General features: G+C 40.4%; 1 long non-coding RNA gene across 1 annotated transcript in view, besides 2 other annotated features; it reads right to left on the bottom strand.

Annotated features, from left to right (window-relative positions):
* The window catches only part of RMEL3 (enriched in melanoma 3), a 140307-nt gene that overhangs the window by 30987 nt on the left and 87970 nt on the right, over positions 1-21350 (bottom strand). Inside the window, exons 2-3 of the long non-coding RNA NR_186596.1 lie at positions 10202-10352; positions 7510-7647 (exon numbers count right to left, since the gene is read on the bottom strand). This is a non-coding gene — a long non-coding RNA (enriched in melanoma 3). The remainder of the gene's footprint in view (positions 1-7509; positions 7648-10201; positions 10353-21350) is intronic.
* Positions 8934-10133: an enhancer, noted in NCBI's record as "P300/CBP strongly-dependent group 1 enhancer chr5:56790121-56791320 (GRCh37/hg19 assembly coordinates)". NCBI's record gives its function as "activates an origin of replication core promoter dependent on BRD2, BRD4, P300/CBP, MED14 and CDK7 cofactors, with strong dependence on P300/CBP, by STARR-seq in HCT116 cells {active_cell/tissue: HCT116}" and the evidence as "EXISTENCE:reporter gene assay evidence [ECO:0000049][PMID:35650434]".
* Positions 9476-9535: an enhancer, noted in NCBI's record as "active region_22582". NCBI's record gives its function as "activates an Ori minimal core promoter by ATAC-STARR-seq in GM12878 lymphoblastoid cells {active_cell/tissue: GM12878}" and the evidence as "EXISTENCE:reporter gene assay evidence [ECO:0000049][PMID:35858748]".

Here is a 21350-nt window from a genome sequence, read left to right as displayed (position 1 = left end):
CCCCTACCCCAGGAGGAAAGGGCAGGGCAGGATTTTCCACACAGTACCTGAAAGGTTTCTGTAGAAACATCTGCTTATCTGGAGGCTGCCAACATAAGAACCTCATCTCCCTCCTGCTCACCTAGACACCTCTGCCCCAACCCATTCACCAGCAGAATCAATAGAAATCCACAACTGCTAAAGCCCTCCTCATTTGTATGTCTGCTCCCTCAGAAGGCCTGTGCTGTCTTTGCTTACATTTTACCTGGCTAGAAGGAGAGAGACTGAAGGGGGTGCAAGGACTTTTTAAAAATGAGGTAGTCCTTTAGGGTCCTCTTAGAATCTTGATAAGCATGAACTGTTCTGAAACACTCTAATCTAGCACTTAAAATGTTTTCCCCCTCCCTAAACCAAAACATATTATTGGTTGAGCCTACAGAAAATTGCCAATATTCAACCATTTTTGACATACAAAAATCTCAATTTCATGTGGTTCAGCCTAATCACAGACTTGAGCCTTTGGCTCTATTCGTTCTAAAGTTCGGCTTTTCAAAGACTCAGTAGACTATTGCGACCTGAAACTTTCCTTTGTAACTTTGTTATTCTGGGAATGGAGTTCTACGTCCCTAACAACTGACCACAAACAAATTTTGGAACATAATCTATTCATAAGTTGAGGTCTGCCTACAAAGAATGTTCTTTCCTGTGCAAGACAGGTTGATGAATTGCATTTATTAGAATTACAGGATAAAGAAACCACAAAAGGCTAACTTTGGGTCTCCAGATAGCCCTCTCAGCCTTCTGGCTCCAAAACATAATCATAATTTAAGCTTGTCTGGTGGTGAGCCAGGCTGGCCCGGGAAAAATTAGTGCAATCAGACTCATGAGTCTAGGTGAAGGCCACAGTTCTCAACATAGAAACACACATAAAAAAAGCTGACTAATCAAAGAGCGAACTTCAGAAATGAAGAAGAGATAAAGAAAACAAACAAACAACAAAAAAAGAGTAGACAAACGTGGGGATGTGATTCTAAACAGTGTTCTCAACCATGCCTGCCTGCCTGTAGAAATAACTTATGGAGGCTTAAAGATACAGGTGCCTGTGCCTCCCCAGACATTCTAATTTCAGTGGGCAGAAGTGTATCTGGGCACCCAAGTTTTACAAAGCACCCTAGGCAGTTCTAATAAGCATTCTTTTTTGAGAACTATGGTTCTAAAGATTAGTCCAAAACCAGGAAATAGATCCATGGAGTAAAAGATAGGAAACACGAATAGGATTTATAGGTCTAAAATGAGCCCTTGATCCAGGCAGTCACCCTAACAGGTGAGGCCATTGTCAGAATTCCTTGTGGTAGTTTCCTGGAAGCATAAAGGCTTCCAGGGAGTCAGAAAGGTGTGTGGCATTAGGAGAACACAGCAAATGGTCATAGGGCACCAGTCAAGGGTTCAGGTAGGACCCTAAGGAGAGGGGAAAATGACGGGTAAAAAACAGGCACAAATTCCACCACTAAGAGAATTCTGAAGATAGGGCAGGAACCAAAAAACCATGGATCTGTACCTAGATGGACATGAGATATCACCGTGAAGCTGAAAGATGAGATTCATTCAATACTGAGTCCTCAGGTCCTTCTTATCCTTCTCCTTACATCCAGGATTGTTCCTACAGCCCAGAGGAGGCTGTATTATCCCAGCAGTAGGGGTAAAGAATTTAGGGGCAAAACCCCAGCAAGCCTTTGTAGTTTTTCCCTTAGAATAAGCAACTTACTTCCTTCTGTTTGCCATGCCCCAAAAAGGGGGACTTTTTCTTGAAATTCTGCTCAAGACCTAATTTTGTACTCTAATGGCATAATATATGGCCCACTCTCTCTCTCAATGTATAGTCATGTACAGTTGCACAGTTTGTACACTGCACAAAGGCACATGACTGAGAGCTAGGGACTCTTGAAGTCATGTGGCCTGGTGCAGAGTTGTTTCTGCCCAGAGGACCCCCTTTTTCAATTTTGCACAAAGACTCAGTGGGGGCTAGGAGTAGCTCTGACAGCAATGAATGATTTGCATCTATTCAAGTATTTGTTGACTGAATGATTAATCTATTGACTCTAACCCTGCCAAAATCGATGGACAAATGCTATGTTTTAAATATTTAACAGGGCATTCTGCATTTACCCTGCACACTGACATTTTCTCCCTAAAAATGTTCATTTAAAAAAGGAAACTCCATCAAGTGTAGCAAGAAAAAGCTTGTACTCTTGCCCAGCCAACTTCATCCACTGACGACAGCACAGAAAAACATAAAAGCCCCTTGTTTCGCTGTCTTTGTTTCCCATGTTCTGAGGAAAATTGCACTGGAATTATGAACAGTTAGCAAATGGTATATAAACGACCAAAAGCCAAATGACAGCTCTATGAACAGACCCAGGCTGGCCCTGGCAAAGCCAGGCTGCTTGGGTTCTGGAACAAGAATTAAGGAATCAAGTTCCATTCCTGGCACTGTCCCCAGTTTGCTGTTAACCTTTTTTGCTGTCACCTCCTTTGCATCCACAGGGCTTTGTGACATGCACTGCAGTGCAAATGAGACACTATTTGATAAGATCTGAAAACCTCGGACAGAGGCCACAAAGCCAAGTCAATGCAGGGAGAGTTCCTCAGATGTGTCTCTCCCTGGGGCCCAGCTCTCTAAGGGATCTCTCGCTCTCTCTCTCTGGGGCTGTTGAGCTGCTTGATGAGATGTCAGCCTTTAACTCGACGGGAATCATGAGAGAAAAAAACAGATTGTAGAAAATATCTCATTTCCCAATGAGACAGAGATTCTTGACATAGCTTGACCCAGCAGTGTAGAAAAATTCAAGAGAAATGCATCAGTATCTTTAAAGAACAGACACATCCTGTACATCTGAGCTGGGCTTTCAATACTGTCCCTCCTCCAGGCTCACTCAATATTAAACCCTTTCATACCATGTGGCTCCTCCTGAGATTCCATCATAACTGTTTAGGCTCAGATGAGGACAACTCAAACCACTCTATTTGGACCTCATTTTCTGCCCTCTGTCCTTCCTCGCCAGAAAAAGCATTTGCTCTATTTTGTAGATCATATCTGTTCTAAAGGTGGGAACATGGTCCCTTCATAGCTGATGGAGTTCTCTGGATATATCTCCAAGACTGACTTGGTTGGTTTCCAGAAATTCCCTCCTTTCTCTAACACTTCCCAAAGAAGGAAGGATCCGTGAACTCACCTAACAAATTTGTTCAGATCTGCATCTGGTCTCACATCTGTTTCCTTCTCCACCCACTTCACTGGAATGCTCTCCGAGTGTGGGGAGTGTTTGGAACAAATCAGAAGAAAGTTCCTATTTAATAGAAGGTGGAGTGTTGGTTATTACACCTGGGTCCCATCGCCATCTCGGGTGCATCTAATTCCTCAGGAGTCCTGTTCTGACAGCATCCTCCAGGCCTGGTGCTCCCTTCTCAGAATTTACAATGGAAGATTGGGTGGAGGAGGGACTGGCTTTGGTTTTGTTTGTTTTTTGCAGAGAACCGAATCTCTCTCTTTGCTTTCAAATTGGCTTCACCTTCCTCACCAAGGAGAGGCCATTGGGCTGAGCACCTGTGATGATACTGCCCTGGCTCCTCCTCAGCTTACACCATAACTACTGCACCCCAGATTTAAGGCTCACAAGTTGGACCGAGTGATCTCCACAATCCTTCTATAATTCTTTGAGCCTTTTTCATAGACTAAAACAATTTTCAAGTATAACCCCCTTTTGCTTTTCTCCTTCCCATCATTCATATTCAGCCAGGCTAGTTAAAATCAAAAGGAATAAAAAGTAACAAAAGTATATATGTGTGGCTATTATTAATAGGAAGCTATAATTTGAAAACCTCAATCTTCTCATTTGGAGGTAAGATGTGCAACGTCTTTACATGTATCTTTGTCTTTTCAGCCTCATTTCTTTCTCCTCCAGAAAAAGTATCCCCCAAGCAAACAAATAAAAAAATAGAATATATTTAAATTATAAGTAGAGAGGCCGAGGTGAGCAGATCACTTGAGGTCAGGAGTTCGAGATCAGCCTGGTGAACATGGTGAAACCCTGTCTCTACTAAAAATACAAAAATTAGCTGGGCATGGTGGCAGGCACCTGTAATCCCAGCTGCTTGGGAGGCTGAGGCAGGAAAATTGCTTAAACCCAGGAGGCAGAGGTTGTAGTGAGCCAAGTTCGCACCACTACACTCCAGCCTGAGTGACAGAGCAGGACTCCATCTCAAAAAAAAAGAAAAAGAAAAGAAAAAGTGTAAGTAGATATGCTTTAATTTAACCATCCCTACAAAATTAAATGATAGTAATACAGGAGCTAATCTTTGGAGATAAGTAAAACAACCTAATTCAGTGGTTCTCAGCCAGGGCTGATTTTGCCCCCCGGGAAATATTTGGCAATATCTGGAGACATTTTTGGTTGTCATGACTGAGGTGGGGAGGGAAGAAGTACCACTGGAATCTAGTGGGTGGGTAAAAGCCAAGGATGCTGCTAAACATCTTTCAATGCACAGCTCCCTACCACAAAGAATTATGCAGCCCAAAACGTCAATCATGTCAATGCGAGAAACCCTGGTCTAGAGATACCAACAGACCTAGATATACAAAACCATTATTTTTCCATACAACAGAGAAAGTCATGTATTCTCATTAATAAATAGTAGACTCACTAAGCCAAGCAGTCACATAAATAGCACAGTAAAGGTACTATGTAAATTTGAAAGCCAAGACTAAACAGGCAGGACTTGCAGCTTTTCCATAGGTGTTTTTTTTGTTTGTTTGTTTGTTTTTACCAGTTAGGCTCTAAAGAATGTTGCTGCCATCTAGGGGATAGAAAGAGAATCCCAAAAGCACCGTGTTCCTAGCTCCAAGGGCACGAGGTCCAAGCCCTGCAGGCACACTACGCACTCATTTCCCACGTTCCTACACTGAAAAGAAAAAAAAATACTTTGAGTTTTGTGACAAGCAATTGTTTAAAATTAAAAATACATCTATGTGACTCAGAGTCTACAGTGCCTTCAGTTAATTTGTTTTCTCCATTTCACGTGTGTGGTATGAAACTGAAAGTCCAGGTTTCTGATAAAGATAACAGATGTTTGCTGCCTGCTTTTATTTTCATATTTAGTTAGGGTAGAAAGAGGAGGGTCAATCAGTGGCCTCAGAACTCTCTGATAGGACCTCTCTTTCCACACACGCTTTTCTTTGGGTCATAGCAAGACAACAATAAGCTCTAGGGAAATTATAAATCAATAGAACTCCTTGCCTTCTTAAAAAAAAATAGGAAACTTTAATAATTAAATCAACTCTAATTAAAGGAAAATCAAGAAGAACCAGGGTTCAGAAGACAGAGGTGTTCCACCAGCCAAACATGCTGTTATTCCTACACACACACACACACACAGAGAACCCATGCGGATAACAGAGCCAAAAGGACTTCTCTAAGAGCTTTGAGAAGAGCATAGAGAGGGATTTTGCACTTCCGTCCTGTAGTTTTTGGAGAAGCTGGCTCTTGGGCTGCAGGAGTATAGTGTACCAGAGTTATAGGCCCCCTTTCCATTCTTAGCGGTGGTCTTTCTCAAGCTTCTTCATGGCTGCATGGGCTGAACTTTGGTTATTTTTCATGCACCAGAGGTAGAAAGCTTCCAATTCCTTTAACACAAGGGTTCCAAAACATCTTAAAATGATGCAAAAACTTATTTTGATCTTCACAACATGCCTTTGAAATAGGTGTGAATTCTATTTCTGTGTTTTAGGCAAAGAAACTGTTGTTTAAAAAGACTAGGACATTTTATTCTGACTGGCCCATCAAGTCCTGCAGATCCCAGTCCAGTTCATCATTCAGTTTGCAGCTGCATAAAATCGGATGGCTCTTCCTCCTCACTGTTTTAATGGAGCATCCTTTCCCACTTCCCACCTCTACCCTTGCTGGGGTCCTGCAAATACTACTATCCAGACCTTATTTTATTCCAAGGGAAAATGTTGAGGGAACTACCATCAGAGCAAGAGAAGAGAAACCTGTGTTATCACTAAGACATGATTCCACAATTGGCCAAAAAGAAGAATTATCTGATAATCCATGTGACCTCTTTTATAGCCGTCAGACTACAAGTCAATGGATGGAGGATGGATGGATGGATGGATGGATGGATGGGTGGATGGAGAGAAATAGGCAAGGCATGAAATTTCCATTAGCATTCCAGCATTTCTATGAATTTCCTATAGCCCAATTCTCCTAAACAAAGAATCTCATGCAATATTACCTGAGAAAGCACTATCCTGAAGAAATGCAAGGTGTTATTTAAGATAGACACTGTTAGTAACATTTACATTATATTAAATATTAATGTTTTGGGGATACAAAAAATTGTCTATTTACCTACTTCATGGAGTTATTGTCAGAATTGAGTGAGATACAGCAAGAGAAAGCTCTTAAAAGTTCATAAGCAGCACTCTGCATATATAACATGTCACTGTTATTGTCAAATACAGTAAGATAAATTGTCACAAAGTCATTTTCCCAAAGGTGATGTCATGTCTCCATAGACATGGATGCTTATTTCTTCAAGGATCACATATTCTGAGCACCCACCCAATAAAAGCAAACATGACTTGATAGGTAGACAGGATAATTTAAAATTGGCACTACCCTCCACCCAATTTCAGAATATTGTATCTAGTCCAATTCATTAAATTATTTTACCTTATAGAAGGAAAGGACCTATAAAAGATATGTACCATAAGCTCCTCTTTATCAATTTATTTCTTGCTTATGTTTTATATAATTTAGAGGAAATGTTCGTGATATGGATGTGTGAGAAAGATACAAAATTTAACATACATAAAGGTCTCAACTATGTACGTAAAAACAAGAATAGTGATTATCTCTGGATGGTAAGATTACCAAAATATTTTTTCTGCTTTAATGAGAGTCTAATTTTTGTTTTTGTTTTTGTTTTTTTTGAGACGGAGTCTGGCTCTGCCACCCAGGCTGGAGTGCAGTGGCACGATCTCTGCTCACTGCAAGCTCCGCCTCCCGGGTTCACGCCATTCTCCTGCTTCAGCTTCCCAAGTAGCTGAGACTACAGGCTCCCGCCACCACGCCTGGCTAATTTTTTTTTTTTTTTTTTTTTTTGTATTCTTAGTAGAGACGGGGTTTCACTGTGTTAGCCAGGATGGTCTTGATCTCCTGACCTCGTGATCCGCCCGCCTCGGCCTCCAAAAGTGCTGGGATTACAGGCATGAACCACTGCACCCGGCCAATAAAAGTCTATTTTCTTCATCCAATATTAATGAATATTCATTCCCAGACTTCTAGGAATAAATATTTTTTTCAACGCATTCAAGCAATCAGGTATTCTATAAGCCTTCATCCTTCCCTTTGAAACATTTTTCTGGAGCCTCTGTGCCCCACTTCTGGGATTTGCTGCTCTCCAAGCTAGTTTCACAGCTATGGCATCTGCATCTCCCTCCCCGTCGCCCTGGAGATTTCTTTGGCATACCTTCTGGGTTGAGGTTTTTATTTTCAGGGTCTCATGTTTTCTTCTTTCTTGATATTTCCTCTGGTTTTCTTGGAGCACATGGGCTGATATTAACTAAGAAGAGGTTGATGGGAGATAAATCGTTGAGTCTTCATGTGTCTGAAAAGGCATTTATTATTCCCTCATATTAATTGTGAGATTGGCTGGGTATAAAACTCTAGTCTGGATATCATTTTCCCTCTGAATTTCCCATTTTGCTATTGACAAGACTAATGATACTTGGGTTCTCATTTTTATGGTTGTGATTATTGGGAGTTTTTTTCCAGTTAAAGCTTTTAGGACCTTCTCTCTCTGCCAGCGTTCTAAACTCTCGCAATGATGTAAGGTGTGATGTGTGTCCTTTCACCTATTTGTGAGTTAACCAGTTCGAGCTATAGGTTTGCCTCTCAGTTCTGGGCAATTTTCTTAATTCATTTATTTTGTAATATCCTTCCCTCTGCTTTTTTTTTTCCTTTCTGTAACTTCTAGTAGTTGGATATTGTACCTGTTGGATTCATCCTCGAATTTTTTTTTAAAAAAATCCTTTTTGTGTGTGTCTGTCATTTTGGTATACTTTCTGGGATATTTCCTCAACTTTATCTTCCAACAATTCTATTAAAATTTTCATTTGTGCAATATTCTTTTTAAGCTCTAAGAGCTCTTTTTGTTCTCTGAATATTTCTTTTTTATAACATTCTCTTCTTATTTTATGTATGCAATATCATCTTTTATACTCAGAGGATATTATTTATAGTTTTGCCTTTGTTAGCTTTTTCTTTGTTTCTATTCCTTACATTGTCCCTACCTCCTTTCTGTTCCTTTTGTTCCCATTGTTTCTGTTGATTGTGTCTTTCAAATTAGAAGCTTTTGTCAAATAGCTGATGTCCCTGGCTGTCCCTTAACCTTTAAAAGCAAGGCAATAAAAAGCTGACTGGAAGCTCTGTGCCTTAAGGAGACAGGCTGCTCTGTAGGATGATTTGGCTGGGCTTTTGATTGAGGGATCCCTAAAGTTGATATCTGTATGCCTTTCCAATTAGGCTCATCCACCCTCTTGCCTAAGGGATAAAAGCCTGGCTGCCAGCATGTTCTTGAAGGCAGGTTGGGAAAGGAGGCTGAGGACCTCTCTATGCACTATGTAGACTTTTACATAATTCCTCTGTGGAGTCTATTTTACAACAGATGTGGTTTTATAATACAAATTAGCTCCTACGCAGTTGGTAAATAGAAAAATTATGTCAGTATAATGCAGAATTAATTTATATGCAATACTTCCTCTGCTCAAGAAAACAGGATGTGGAGCAGAAGTATAACCTTCGGTAGGAAAGGAAAAAGTTTTTAATGGTTGCTGCTCTGGCAATAGAAACCGTTTGCCTGTGGTTTGAAAATTAAAAACAAGTACTTAAACCTGGGCTTCACCCTCGAAGCGGCTACACCCCACACCTGTGGGACTCTTGACTCCTGGCAGGTGGTATTGTCTCTGTGGCACCTTCAGGGCAGCCACACTGACTGAGAAGGCCACTTCTACTGCATTGTCGGAGTTCCTACCAGCTCTGCTCTTGTGTATGTGTTACTAACATTCTCTCTCAATTATTCCTCTGACTTCACAACAATTGTAACAGGCCCCAGCCACACGCAGCCTGCCTCAATAGTACAAGTTAATTTCCTGAGTATCAATTATTGTCTTTACTAGTGCTTTGCATAAGTTGTGAATTTTCTACCTCAATCTTTTTTTGCACATGGCCTTACTTTTTGTGTGCAAGTTTGAAAACTGAATTTTTCAGGAATCTCATCCTTATTGTGCCTTAAGCTTGTTTCCAAAACTGGCCACAACTCTTTCTTTCCCTGTAGCCACGTTCCTTTGCAATGTGACTTTGCAGCCCTGTCCATCAAGAGGTAGACCCTATCCCTCCCCAGCTCTTGAATCTGAGCTACACTTGTGACTTGCTTTGCCCAACTGAATGCATAGAAGAGACACTGTGTCAGTTCCAAGCCTAGGCCTCAAAAGTCTTTGCATGCCTCGACTAGCCCTCTTGGAACCCTGCCCAGCCACAATGTAAGAGCCTGGGCTTTGCCTACAGGAGGAGAGCAGACCACATTCACCAGAAGTGAGTCAGCCCGGCTTTCCCAGCTAAAGCTTCAGAGATAAGGGGCAGGGTTGGGGAGGAGTTCTCTGATGAATTTGCTTTTTTATCCGTATCTTCAGCCTATTTCCCTGTTTCTGACCCTAATTTGTCCCCACTTTTGGAAGTTCCTAGGTTTCCATTACTGAGTCTTTCTGGGACTCTAGTAAGACCACTTTTGCTTCTGGGCCTCCCCCACTCCCATGGAGGCTCTGTTTCCTCAGGGCTGAGTTACCACTGGTTCACCTCTCTCTTGCTTTAAAAATGTTATTGCTGTTATTGTTATTGTCCTGCTCTCTTTATCATTGTTTTTAATGTCTTTTTATTTCCTTACTGCAAAGTTTAGTGGTGTTTGGAGAGAACATGTAGATAAACCCAAGTGTTTAATCTGCCAAACTTAACAAGAAGTCTCCTCACTTCATTTTACAGATGAGGAAACAGAAGTCTATGAAGCTAAGTGGCTTGCCCAAAGCCACCTGAGTAATTAGTAAAAAATCTGAAACCACCTAGAATTCTGGAACCACTCCAATGTTCTTTTCTCTATTCCATGCTACCTTTGCAATTATGTCAGGAAGCCCATCTGATGGAACGAAATCCTCCCCTCATTGAATGTCTGTAGATTTCTTCTGTGCACATAAGATTCTGCAGTGCCATCGTCTGTTCCAGCCTTGACAAATACAGTGAGAAGCCAATTCAATCAGCATTCTAAAATATACAATAAAAGCATATTACTTTTCCCTGCTGATGTTTAAACCATCATCCACATAGAATTGCAAATTTTTGTATGCTCGCAGATTATGTGTAAACTCTCAGGCACAAATTAGAAACTATTCCATCAGTGTTTAAAATTCTAACTACATAAACAAATGCCTGTGCTCTAAACTGAAACAAATTGCAAGGTATACAACGTAGCCTTGTTGGACAGGGCAATGACTTTCAAGCCAGTAAGAAATGGCCAGAACAGGTGCTTCAGAATATGCTAATAACCTTTCCTGACATCCAATGGCCCACAGATATCTAGTTACAGGTATCTAGTTTCTGCCTATAAGCATCACTGATTATGCAGAAGAGCCTGCTTCAGATGTCAGGGTCACTTATGCGAAGCCTTCATATCATCTCCCAGCCCATTCCGGGGATGTGCTCAGCATCTCCACACAACTCCAGTGGGCATCAAGTCAGTGTGGAGCATCATAGGAGCACACAGAACATCCCATACCTCCAAACCCCAGGAGTAAAAAAGCACTACATCTAGATAGGTAAGAGACATCTCCTGTCTTGTCTCTTCACATCTAGACACTGCCTAAATCAATGAATCCCAAAAAACAATTTAGCTTCCATAGAGAATGTTGCCACACCTGACACAATAGAATGAGCCTCTGCCTGGTTTACAGAACTCAAACCACTCAAGTCAAACACTAGATATTTGCTTCAGTGTCTTTCACCAATTGTCTACCTCACTTTAGCCATCCCAAGCTTCCTTTTCTTGTGCTAACAATAGATTCCTACCCAATACATGGGGTTGGCTCAGTACCCATTAGGATACCTGCCAGGAATGTTGTGCTACCATTCTTGACCCTGCTTCACAGTGAATAGGCTCCACTGACCAGAGCTGAGCAAGCATCCTGGAGAGTCACAGAAAATGCAACGAGTGTTGCTAATATTTTGTCCAATTTTTGCTCTTACCATGCAAACTGCTAAACACTTTAGAGGCATCATCTCATGTCAATTCCAAGACAACTTTATGAGGTAAATACAATTATTATCTTCCATTTACGGAGGAAGAAACAGACTTGGGAAGCTCTGAAACACCCCACTTTACAAACCTAGGAAGTGTGGGAACAAATCTAGCTTTGCCAGATTCTAGAGTTGTATTCTTAATCACTATGTTTCCATAGTTACTGCAGGACCAGCACAAGGCAGAGAATTTTAGTTTTTATGTGGCAGCAAATTTGGAGCCCAGGAGATTTTAATATTCATGACTTAAGAGTTTTATGACCGTGGTCTCTAGAAAGGTTTGGGGTTGGAAGAGTTATTCACCAAAGTACTCCGGAAATTAGCTAACTATGAAGGGACTAGTGCCTGAACTAAAGCAAAGCAAATAGGGGCAGAAAGCAGCAAAGGTTATAAGAAATATCCCAAAGAATATTCAGTAGAATGTGATGTCATACTATACTTTGTTTTTCAAAAGTGAATTAAATGAGGCCGCGCACGGTGGCTCATGCCTACAATCTCAGCAGTTGGGGAGGCTGAGGTGGGCAGATTACTTGAGGCCAGGAGTTCGAGACCAGGCTGGCCAACATGGCGAAATCCCGTCTCTACTAAAAATACAAAAAATTAGCCAGGCATGGTGGCACACACCTGTAATCCTAGCTACTCAGGAGGCTGAGGCACAAGAATTGGTTGAGCCTGGGAAGCAGAGGTTGCCGTAAGCTTAGATTGTGCCACTGCACTCCAACCTGTGCACAGAGTGAGACTCTGTCTCAATTAATTAATTAATTAATTAATTTAATTAAATGGTTGAGTCAAATGTAATTCTCAAATTAGAAAATTAAGTGATTTTTCAAAATATTGAGAACATTTATATAAACAGAGCACTTGGGAGAAACTAATAAATTTGGTTTAGCTATGTTAAGCTAGAAATTAAATCTATAACATGTTGAAATGTTAACATAACCCAATCAATCTTCAGTTTAAAAATAAATATGGGAAGTACAATAGTCAATGAGTAAACAACTAGAGTTGGAAATCCATGTTCTAGACACTGTTAGAAATAGAATGTGAAGATGATACAGAGAGTATAGTGAAGGAGAAAACCACATACATAAGTAATATAAAACAAAAAGAGAAAAGAACTACAATAGCGATATAAGCTACGGGACTTTAGAGATGCATCAGATTCACTCCTCCTGGGGAAACTGGTGAGAATCTAAGATGGGCTCTCAAAGATGGATTAAATGTCAAAGGATAGAGAAGGTGGGAAGGACATTTCCAGTGGAGTAAGCAGTGTCAGCAATTCTGAGTGACGGGCTCTCTAGGAGTAGCAATTAGTTCCAAAGACTGGAGCATAAGGTTCACGAGCAGGGGAGGAGAAAGGATACTAAAATATCAGCCTGGGGAAGTAGGTCGGAGCCAGATAATAGAGGGCCTTAAAGTCTATACCAAGAAGTTTACTTTGTTCAACAGCTAATGGAAAGTCATCAAAAGCTTTCAAACAGGGAGTGACATGTTCTTATGTGACTCATACTCTAATCTCTTATTTCCATAAATGAATATATGAATTTCATAAAATAAATGAAACTGCCTCATATCTCTCCCCATTCACTCTGCTTTTTATGGCAATCTTACCCTTGGGTAAATATTCCTAAATTATTTTGCATTTTTTTATGTTCTATACAATATTTCCAATTAGCCTTTTATCTAACCTGTAACCCTTTTTTTCCTTTCTGGTTGGAACCGAAAATATCATTAATCTCAACCAGGGATATCAACAAAAGAATTCTTCCTCTTTAAGTTTAGTCCTAAAGTCTATTTATGATACTCTACTAGTTTGACCCAGATGCCATTTGTAACTGGATGTGAAAAGAAAGAGGGCTTGCCCTGAATGCTTCGAGCAAGGCTTTCCTTTGGCAAATTCTTATATTATGGCATCTTTGGGTGCCCTGCTTCAAAGAACCCAGTTTCAGAGGAAAATGATCTGAAGAAGTCAAAATGCTTCTATTTCTTTCATAAAGATAGCCCTCCTGCTAAAAAATAAAAGAAATAAAATTTAGACAAAGTCCCCAGAAGTGATAACATCATTTAAAAACCTGTTCCAGTCTCTTTCACCCCATTCTACCAGAGACAGAAACAGAAACAAATGCTAGGAGCCAGACCTCTGAGTTTTCTCTCCAAAGTGGCAACAAAACAACTAACCAGAAAACAGTTTTATTTTATTATATTCTCAGCAATTTTATTCTAATTGTTAGTTAAAATTCTTCCTTTTGTCACATAAATGCATTCCACCATATCTCATCCTCAGTAAAACAAAGAGGGACAGAACCTCTCTTCCTGCCCTGCAATCTTCTGAATTGTATTCCTTTTTAATTCCTAAAGACTGCAAGCCAAAAATAAAATTCTGAAGACTGCTCACCAAAAATAAAATTCTAGACCCCCCAACCATCTGAAAGGACCCCTTCTTTCAGCAAGGGCATCCCAAAGCTAAACTGAAAAACTAGTTCAGGCCATTATAGGAAGGAGAGTCGGACATGCCTCATTCTACCCTCTTCCCTTTTGGAAATACTGATAGAACAGACTTAAAGTCTGATAAGAAACATTTACAATCTATTCCCTCTGAAGCCCGCTACCTGCTGGCTTCACCTGCATGAAAAAACCTTGGTCTCCACAACCCCTTATCTGAACCCAGACATTCCTAAGTGTTTGACCATAACTTAGCTCTTTCAGCCAATTGCCAACCAGAAAATCTTTGAATCTACCCATGACCTGAAAGGCCCCGCTTCCAGTTGTCCTGCCTTTCTGAACTGAGCCAATGTACATCTTACATTTATTTGATTGATGTCTCATGTCTCCTTAATATGTATAAAGCTAAGCTGTACCCTGACCACTTTGGGAACATGTTCTCAGGATCTCCTGAGGGCTGTGTCACAGGCCTTCGGTCACTCATATTTGGCTAAGAGTAAATCTCTTCAAATATTTTACACAGTCTGACTCTTTCCATCAACAAGACTAAGTGTTACATTTCGGCATTTTTCATATGATTAAAGAAATGTAGCCACATAGTATTTTATATTCTGTTCTTGTAGATACCAATACCAATCCATCCCCAAAAGAAAAAGGACCATAGAACACCGGCTTCCCACTTGTCCTTTTCTCCACATGAAATGCATGCTCCACCCTCAAATGCATGCTTACTGCACATGAATTCACTTGCCTCCATTAGTGGTCCTTCTTGGATAGGAGCCATGCTACAGGAACATGGAGGCCAAGGGGAAATGGAGAATCCGCACCTCTTCTAAGGGGAGTAGCTGCTATTCAGCTTAGTTTGGGAATAAGGTCTCAGTGTTGCTTGATCTTTCTATTTTTTTTTAATAAGAGAAGTGGGAATTCAAAAATATACTTATTTTACAAATATTAAAAACTAAAAATTTGAAAATGTTTGTAGGACGTTGTGTGGGCCAACATAGTCATGCTGAGGATCCCAGTCTGTGTACTCTGCACTAAGCTGTGATCTGGACTGAATAAGCAATCCAGAAAGAATGGCTTTCTTTCTCATCCAGGCATCATCAACTGAGCATATCTTTTTCTCCATCTTAAGGGGAAGATATCCTGATATTAGTATTAATAACATGGAAGAACCTGCTGTGGTTCTCTAGAAGTTTATTTGGTTTTTTTCTTTGGACTTCAAGATTCCACCTGGTTTCTGCTCTGAGATGGCATTTAGATACCTTAAGACCAAATATTATACTAGTATTGTCTTTTCTGCAGTTTCTTCAGTGCTATTTTTCCTGGACTTGGTGACATGGCAACTAAAGGAAGGGAAACCATCATTAAGCAGGTTTTAAGTCCTAATAGTCTGTTGTCCTTGCTTTCATCTAGGATTCCTATTTCTTTTATAAATTCTGTTCCCCTCCTCCCCTGAACTGCACCTCACAGGGCCTTCCTACCCCTTCATTTTTGCTCTGAAAAGAGATAAAGTGCTTCCTTGATGTCAGCAAAAGTAGAATAAAAATATCCTCAGGAAGCCTTACTAATTCGAGATACCTGAAATAATTTCTTACCTGTGTCTCCTAAGATCCCCAAAAACCCTGTTTCCCTTGGCAAAAAAAGAAAAAAGAAAAAAGAAAAAAAAACTTACACTGAGTCATATCCTACCGATCAAAAAGTTTGCTCCTGGAAGTGAATTAGGCAGCTTCCAAAAGTGAAGTAGCCTTTTCATCTGCATCATCCACCTTCAGTGGACTTTTCCCAGGGCAGCACATGTCCATAGCAGCAGACGCTCTGTAGGAGAGGAGACACTGGGTGTGTTCTGCTGCTTGACAAGCCATAATCCCATCTCGCCAGTTATAAGCAGGCATGGGCTTCTAGATGGTCTTCACGAAAATGTGCAGGAAATCCGGCATGATACCTAAGCTGTCACAAAGTCAGACACAAAGCTGTCACCGGAATGAAGAATAAACACTGACCATTACTTAGTAACTGCAAAGCATTTTTTGTTCTTTGTGCTTTTATGACAGTCTGGATTGATTTAAATTAGCCTTTCAGGACCTGTGTTCTCTGGCCCTGGTCTGTATCAGGTCACAGCTGCATTGAGTCATTTCCTCTCCAACTCTCTGTGAGATCTTCCCTTCAAAGCCTTGCAGGCCCTGGGTCACTCATGCAATGTGAATTATCTCGGCTCCCAAATGAATTTTTCTCGACTCCAAGACATACTCTTTACGGTGGTCTGATCATCAGGGCCTTTCTTTTGACCTGATTTCCTGTTCTCTACTTTTGCTTCCTTCACCTCTATAATCTGGTGGTTCCTGTCCATCTGGATTGGCTTCCCCTCTTGGCCTGCTTTAGAGACATCAGATTTGCTCAATTACTCCAGGCTCACCCCACTTCCTAAAGCAGAGCCCCCTTCTCCACTTTCTACTATTCACACCTTGGCATGTCATGGTCAAATCCAGGGGTTTGAAGACAATGCCATTTGGGGTCTGAAAGCTGACACCTGGCAGGCCGCAATTCTCTCTTGGCTGATATCCAAAGGATGCATCTGTCTTCTTGATCTAGTTTTTGCTTTTTAATAGTCCCCTTGCCTATCCTACTATCCTCTCCTGAAATCACTCTCATATTATTTTCTTATTTTAGATAATAGAAGATTTGCCTCTTTACTTGTAAATGTCTTTCTTTCTCAGTTCAGGCATTAACTCGTCATTTTGTTTTCTCCATTTTGAGAGTAAGATATCCTGATATTAATATTAATAACATGGAAGGACCTGCTACGGTTCTCTAGATTTTTATTTGATTTTCTTCTCTTGATTCCAATATTCAGCCTGATTTTCACTCTGAGATGGCATTTGGATAACTTCAGATGTTGTTTCCCAACAGGGAATACAAAGACTTCACAGGGACGGTCCTTGTTGGCTGCCGCTCTTACTAGGAGCCAGCCAGGTACCCTGTGCCCTTTCTTTTAGCTCATCGTTGGGCAGAGATTGGGCTCAGGGCTTGGTCTTGGGTTCTAAATCCCGACACTACCGTGGTGGCTCTATATAGCCTTGGTCAGTTTCCTCTTCAAGCTTCAGTTTATTCCTTCTAAAATGGGGATGATAATCCTAGGTACCTCATAGGGTTGTCATGAAGACTAAAGAAATGATATGTGTAAGGGATTTAGCGTAGAGACTGGCACATACTACATGATCCGTAATCACTATTTTTATTGTTATCCCCTTCACCTTTCAGGATCAGAACACAACATGATGCTTATCTGTGTTGGATGATATATGGTTCCCATCAGTAACGGCTGAACTGTGAATATTGATGCTTCCGATTTTACAACTGTTTCTTCTCCCCTTTCCTTAGAATCAAGGCATTTCCAAAGGTTCATCCACCACACACAGGAATCTGTTCTTCCTCTTAACAACTTTGTTTACAGGTCAATTGAAATAGCCAAAAGCTGATCTATGGCATATTTTAAAAGTTAGTTAGGAAGAAGTGCCATAAAATCTACGTTAGGCCCTTTATCCATCGGGGGGAGCGCTATTGCCCTGTGGAGTGAAAGCTGGTTTTGTTCACAGACAGTGGGCTCACACCAGATAGGGGCTGGGAGCTGTGGTCAACTGCACCAATGAAAAGATTCTTATGCTAATATTTTCCTTCCAAATGCATCCTGGAACTGGTCAAGACGTACCTCACCAAAGCCACTTTTTCCTCCTTTCTGCCCATGCCTGCCTCAGGAAATAGGTGAGTCAGGTTTTACTTGAGGAAGTGTTTGTTGTATTTCTGATTTTTCATGCCATTTTTTACATAGTTCTATATATTCAAACAAACAGAAAATCACAATAAGCTCTATCAGTAATTATTATTGGTGGATTTACTATTTGTAAGAAATATTAAAGCCATATGTTGAGACTTCTCCAGAGAGAAGTAACGGTAATTATCTTTACCATTTTATCTCTCTTTTCCAGAGAGATAAACATGGTATCTTACAAACTGCAAATAATCTCCAGAGAGATTATTTGGTATCGTAAGATACCATGTTTAAGCCATTTCATCAATATGAAATATAAACCTTAGGCAGTATTTAACCACAAAATAAATAAGCTTTTTAACTTTTAAGAAGTGGTCAGCTATATCTAGCTATGAATGAACAGATGAGTATATAATGAAAACAAATCACACTGCTTACAACATTCATGTATCTATTTCTGAAACACATTACAAATCTCCACTAAGAGCAGAGTACAGTTGAAAGAGATTCTCAGAGCATCACCACACTAGAGAGGTAGACGTGTGCAAAATCAGCCAAGGATAGAAGGAAAGAGGGTGTGGTACACAAGGAAGGAACCAAGTGAAGACAGAGAGGCAGGCAGCTGACCTCCATGTACTAAATTGCATCCCTAGGGGGGAGGCTGAACGAGGCCTCATTAAAATGCATAATCTCAGCAGTTCAGTTAAACAGATGAGAGCCTAGACAGGAGATGATCACTAAGACAGGGCCTCCATGACCCATGGGTAAGAGCCTCTTCTTAGATCTCATGTACTACGGAGAGAAAGCAACACCCAATTCTGGAGTTCCTCTTCCTTCCACATGCCTGTGAAGATTCAGACTCTTGTTGTAAGCCTCTAAACTCTTGCTGATTCTGTGTAGAGACCTAGTTCCAAATACATAGTTGATTCTCTGATTTCATCCAAGTTGTTGGTGCTGCTGTAATACTGCCTCCGTTGGCTGCTGGCAGCCTCCTAGTTCCAAACACATAATTGATTCTCTGGTTTCATCCAAGCTGTGATGCTCATGCCTGCAATATTACCTCCACTGGCCAGTGACAGCCTCCTGCCCATCCTCTGAGACTCAGCCCAGGGGTCATCTCCTTTGGCCTCTCCTTCTCTTTGCCCTGACCTCAGGTTCAGGGGCCCCTCATTCCACCTCTATGTCTCCCTGAGCTCCTTCTCTCATCTCCCGTGTTGTATACCTGTTATCTGTGTATTTGGGAGTGACATTCAAGATCTTTAACAACTGGAACAGCGCTGGCAGAGCCCTATCAGAACATAAGCCGGCTGTATCATACCAGTGCCAAACGGCCACCTGTCGGCCTGGGGTAAGGTGACTTTCACCCACAAGACAGTGAACTCTTTAAAAATAGGGCTGTGTTTTATTCATTGATATATCACCAGTGCCCAGAACATAGGAGATGTTTAATAAATGTTTGCGGATTGCTTGAAAAGTCTAAGGTTGACAAAGACAAGGCAAGGAGACACGGTAGCTTCCACCAGTTGTCTTCATATTTAATGCCCATACTTAAACCTCACTCTAGTTTCGTGTATCTGCATGATAGTCAAACTAGGCAAAATGTAAAAGAAAAAGAATATTCTGGGCTTCCATGAGTGAACCTTGAAGGGCCCTAAAGGTTTAGGTAATTAATTAAACATTTGTAAATTCTGGTCAGTTACAAAGTCTGTTACCTCCAAGAACAGTACTCCCTACTCACAGCTTCCAGAGCCCAGTATTTGTAAACCCATCTTTCTATGTTTTACTCAACACAAATTCTTACTACTTTTTAAAAATTTAACCAACTCAACAGATGACATTTTTAATGGCTGTTGAATTGTGATAAGCACCTCTTGCATTATTGAGAGTTAATTAGAAGAGCATAAGCTTATTTTAAGAATACATAACTGATGAAATTTGCTCCTGGGACACCGGAATTAAAGCAGGCTAGACAGTCTCTAGCAAAATCACACATCAGCCACACTCTCAAGGCATCAGTTATGCTGTGTGGACTCAGTACCAAATATCCCTTAGTTGAAGGTGATTCTAAGGACAGCACTCTAGTAAGTGTAGGATCTAAGGCTGCACTTGGTACTATGTGGGCTCCTCCACTAACATTTCCACCAACTTGGCTTTGTTTTATATTCCAGACCGGAGCATTCATAAATGGGGACTTGTGCTAAATACAATGTGTATTTCATTTTTTCCATTTTGTAAAATGTGCATGTAGTTTGTTATGGGATTTTAAAAAATTCCCAGAAGCACCATCCTATAGCAATAAAATGTTGTTTTAATCAAAAGCTTGGTTGTACTACATAACAAGGAAGTTCATAAAACCATTCAGTGTGAAGGTTTTTAACACTGTTGAAGAAGGAATTTTGCAGTTACAGAAAAGATTAAAGGAAAGGACTGTTTTGGTGAGCCCTAAAGCAAAACCATGGATCTTGTGATGAAACATACATTCTGCCATGACTGATTGTCACCAGAAAGGTTTTGAAGGCATATTACAGCACTGGATAAAATAAATCTATATCAAGCTATAGACAAAGAAGAGGGCTGGATGCTCACAGCTTGATGCTACACCATGACTCTCCAAGAGGCTCACTGGGCAAAGACTCAGGTTAGTTCTCCTGGCCTTGAGCTGGAGGGTGTTTTTTGTCCAGTAAATAGGGGCTGTGCTACCTCTTACAAAGCAAGCTTTATTGGGTAAATGAATGAATGATGAACCCAAATAAAGATTATTTTGGAGAACTCAGATGTAGACATGGAAAATTTCTTTGCTTTACAAGAGCTCACAAAGATAATTATATTCTATTCGCCTAACACATAGGGGAGCAGAAGTAATGAGCTTTCTTAAATGCTATTTCTCTGTAACACATTGCTGATGTCCTACATTTTACCATCATACACATCTTTTCAGGTAGTCTGTATTTCTATATGAAACATGGAACCCAAACAAATTGTTGCTATGAAGTGATCAGGGTGTAATATATCTTGAAATGGAAGGAAAGCTAGTATAATTCTAATTGTATAGATTTTAATAACTACATAGAGGTTTAATGTTATAATATAGTATATGTATCTTGAAGATCAAAATGTTTTAAGGATTAGTTTAAATATATAATTTTTCAAATTTGTCTTATCACTTCATTTTGTCCATTGTTGCAGAACTCAAGAGTTGTTGCAAATAAATAAATTTTTATAACCTGCATCTTAATAAATCATGCAAAATAGTTGACATTCAGTCATTATACAATTAACATGGACCCAATGAACCTGGTTCTATGAACAATGTCTAGACACAGTAAATGTTTAATGAAATTTGGTTGTTAGAAATTTATATCAGAAAAAAGTATCTATATGGGTTAACTTTAGCAATCATTCTATTCCTTTCGCTTGATCTCTGATGGATTAGAAGTCTATTAAATATCTCTACATTTTGCTTGACACAAGTGCATTGTAATTACAGCCATCAGGCCATCCTTAGCCATTTATTATTTTCATTTACTAAAACAGTCTCTACGATGATGACACCCTGTGGGATTAGGAATCTAATGGAAACAAAAATCTTGAAAAAGTGAAGATTGCAGGGTAAGACCCCTCATCAGAACAGTATCTTAAGAATGAAAAGGTAAGCTAGTGTAGGAAAAGTGAATCCTCAGGGACGCTAAGGAGGGAGCCTTCCTCCCAGCAGTGTTGCCATACCTAGCACCAGCTTTCTTTCATCTTGCTTTTATATC

This window comes from Homo sapiens, chromosome 5 (genome assembly GCF_000001405.40).
Source record: "Homo sapiens chromosome 5, GRCh38.p14 Primary Assembly".
NCBI lineage: Eukaryota > Metazoa > Chordata > Mammalia > Primates > Hominidae > Homo > Homo sapiens.
Note: the sequence above shows the minus strand (reverse complement) of the source record. Positions and strands in the feature narration are given on the sequence as shown.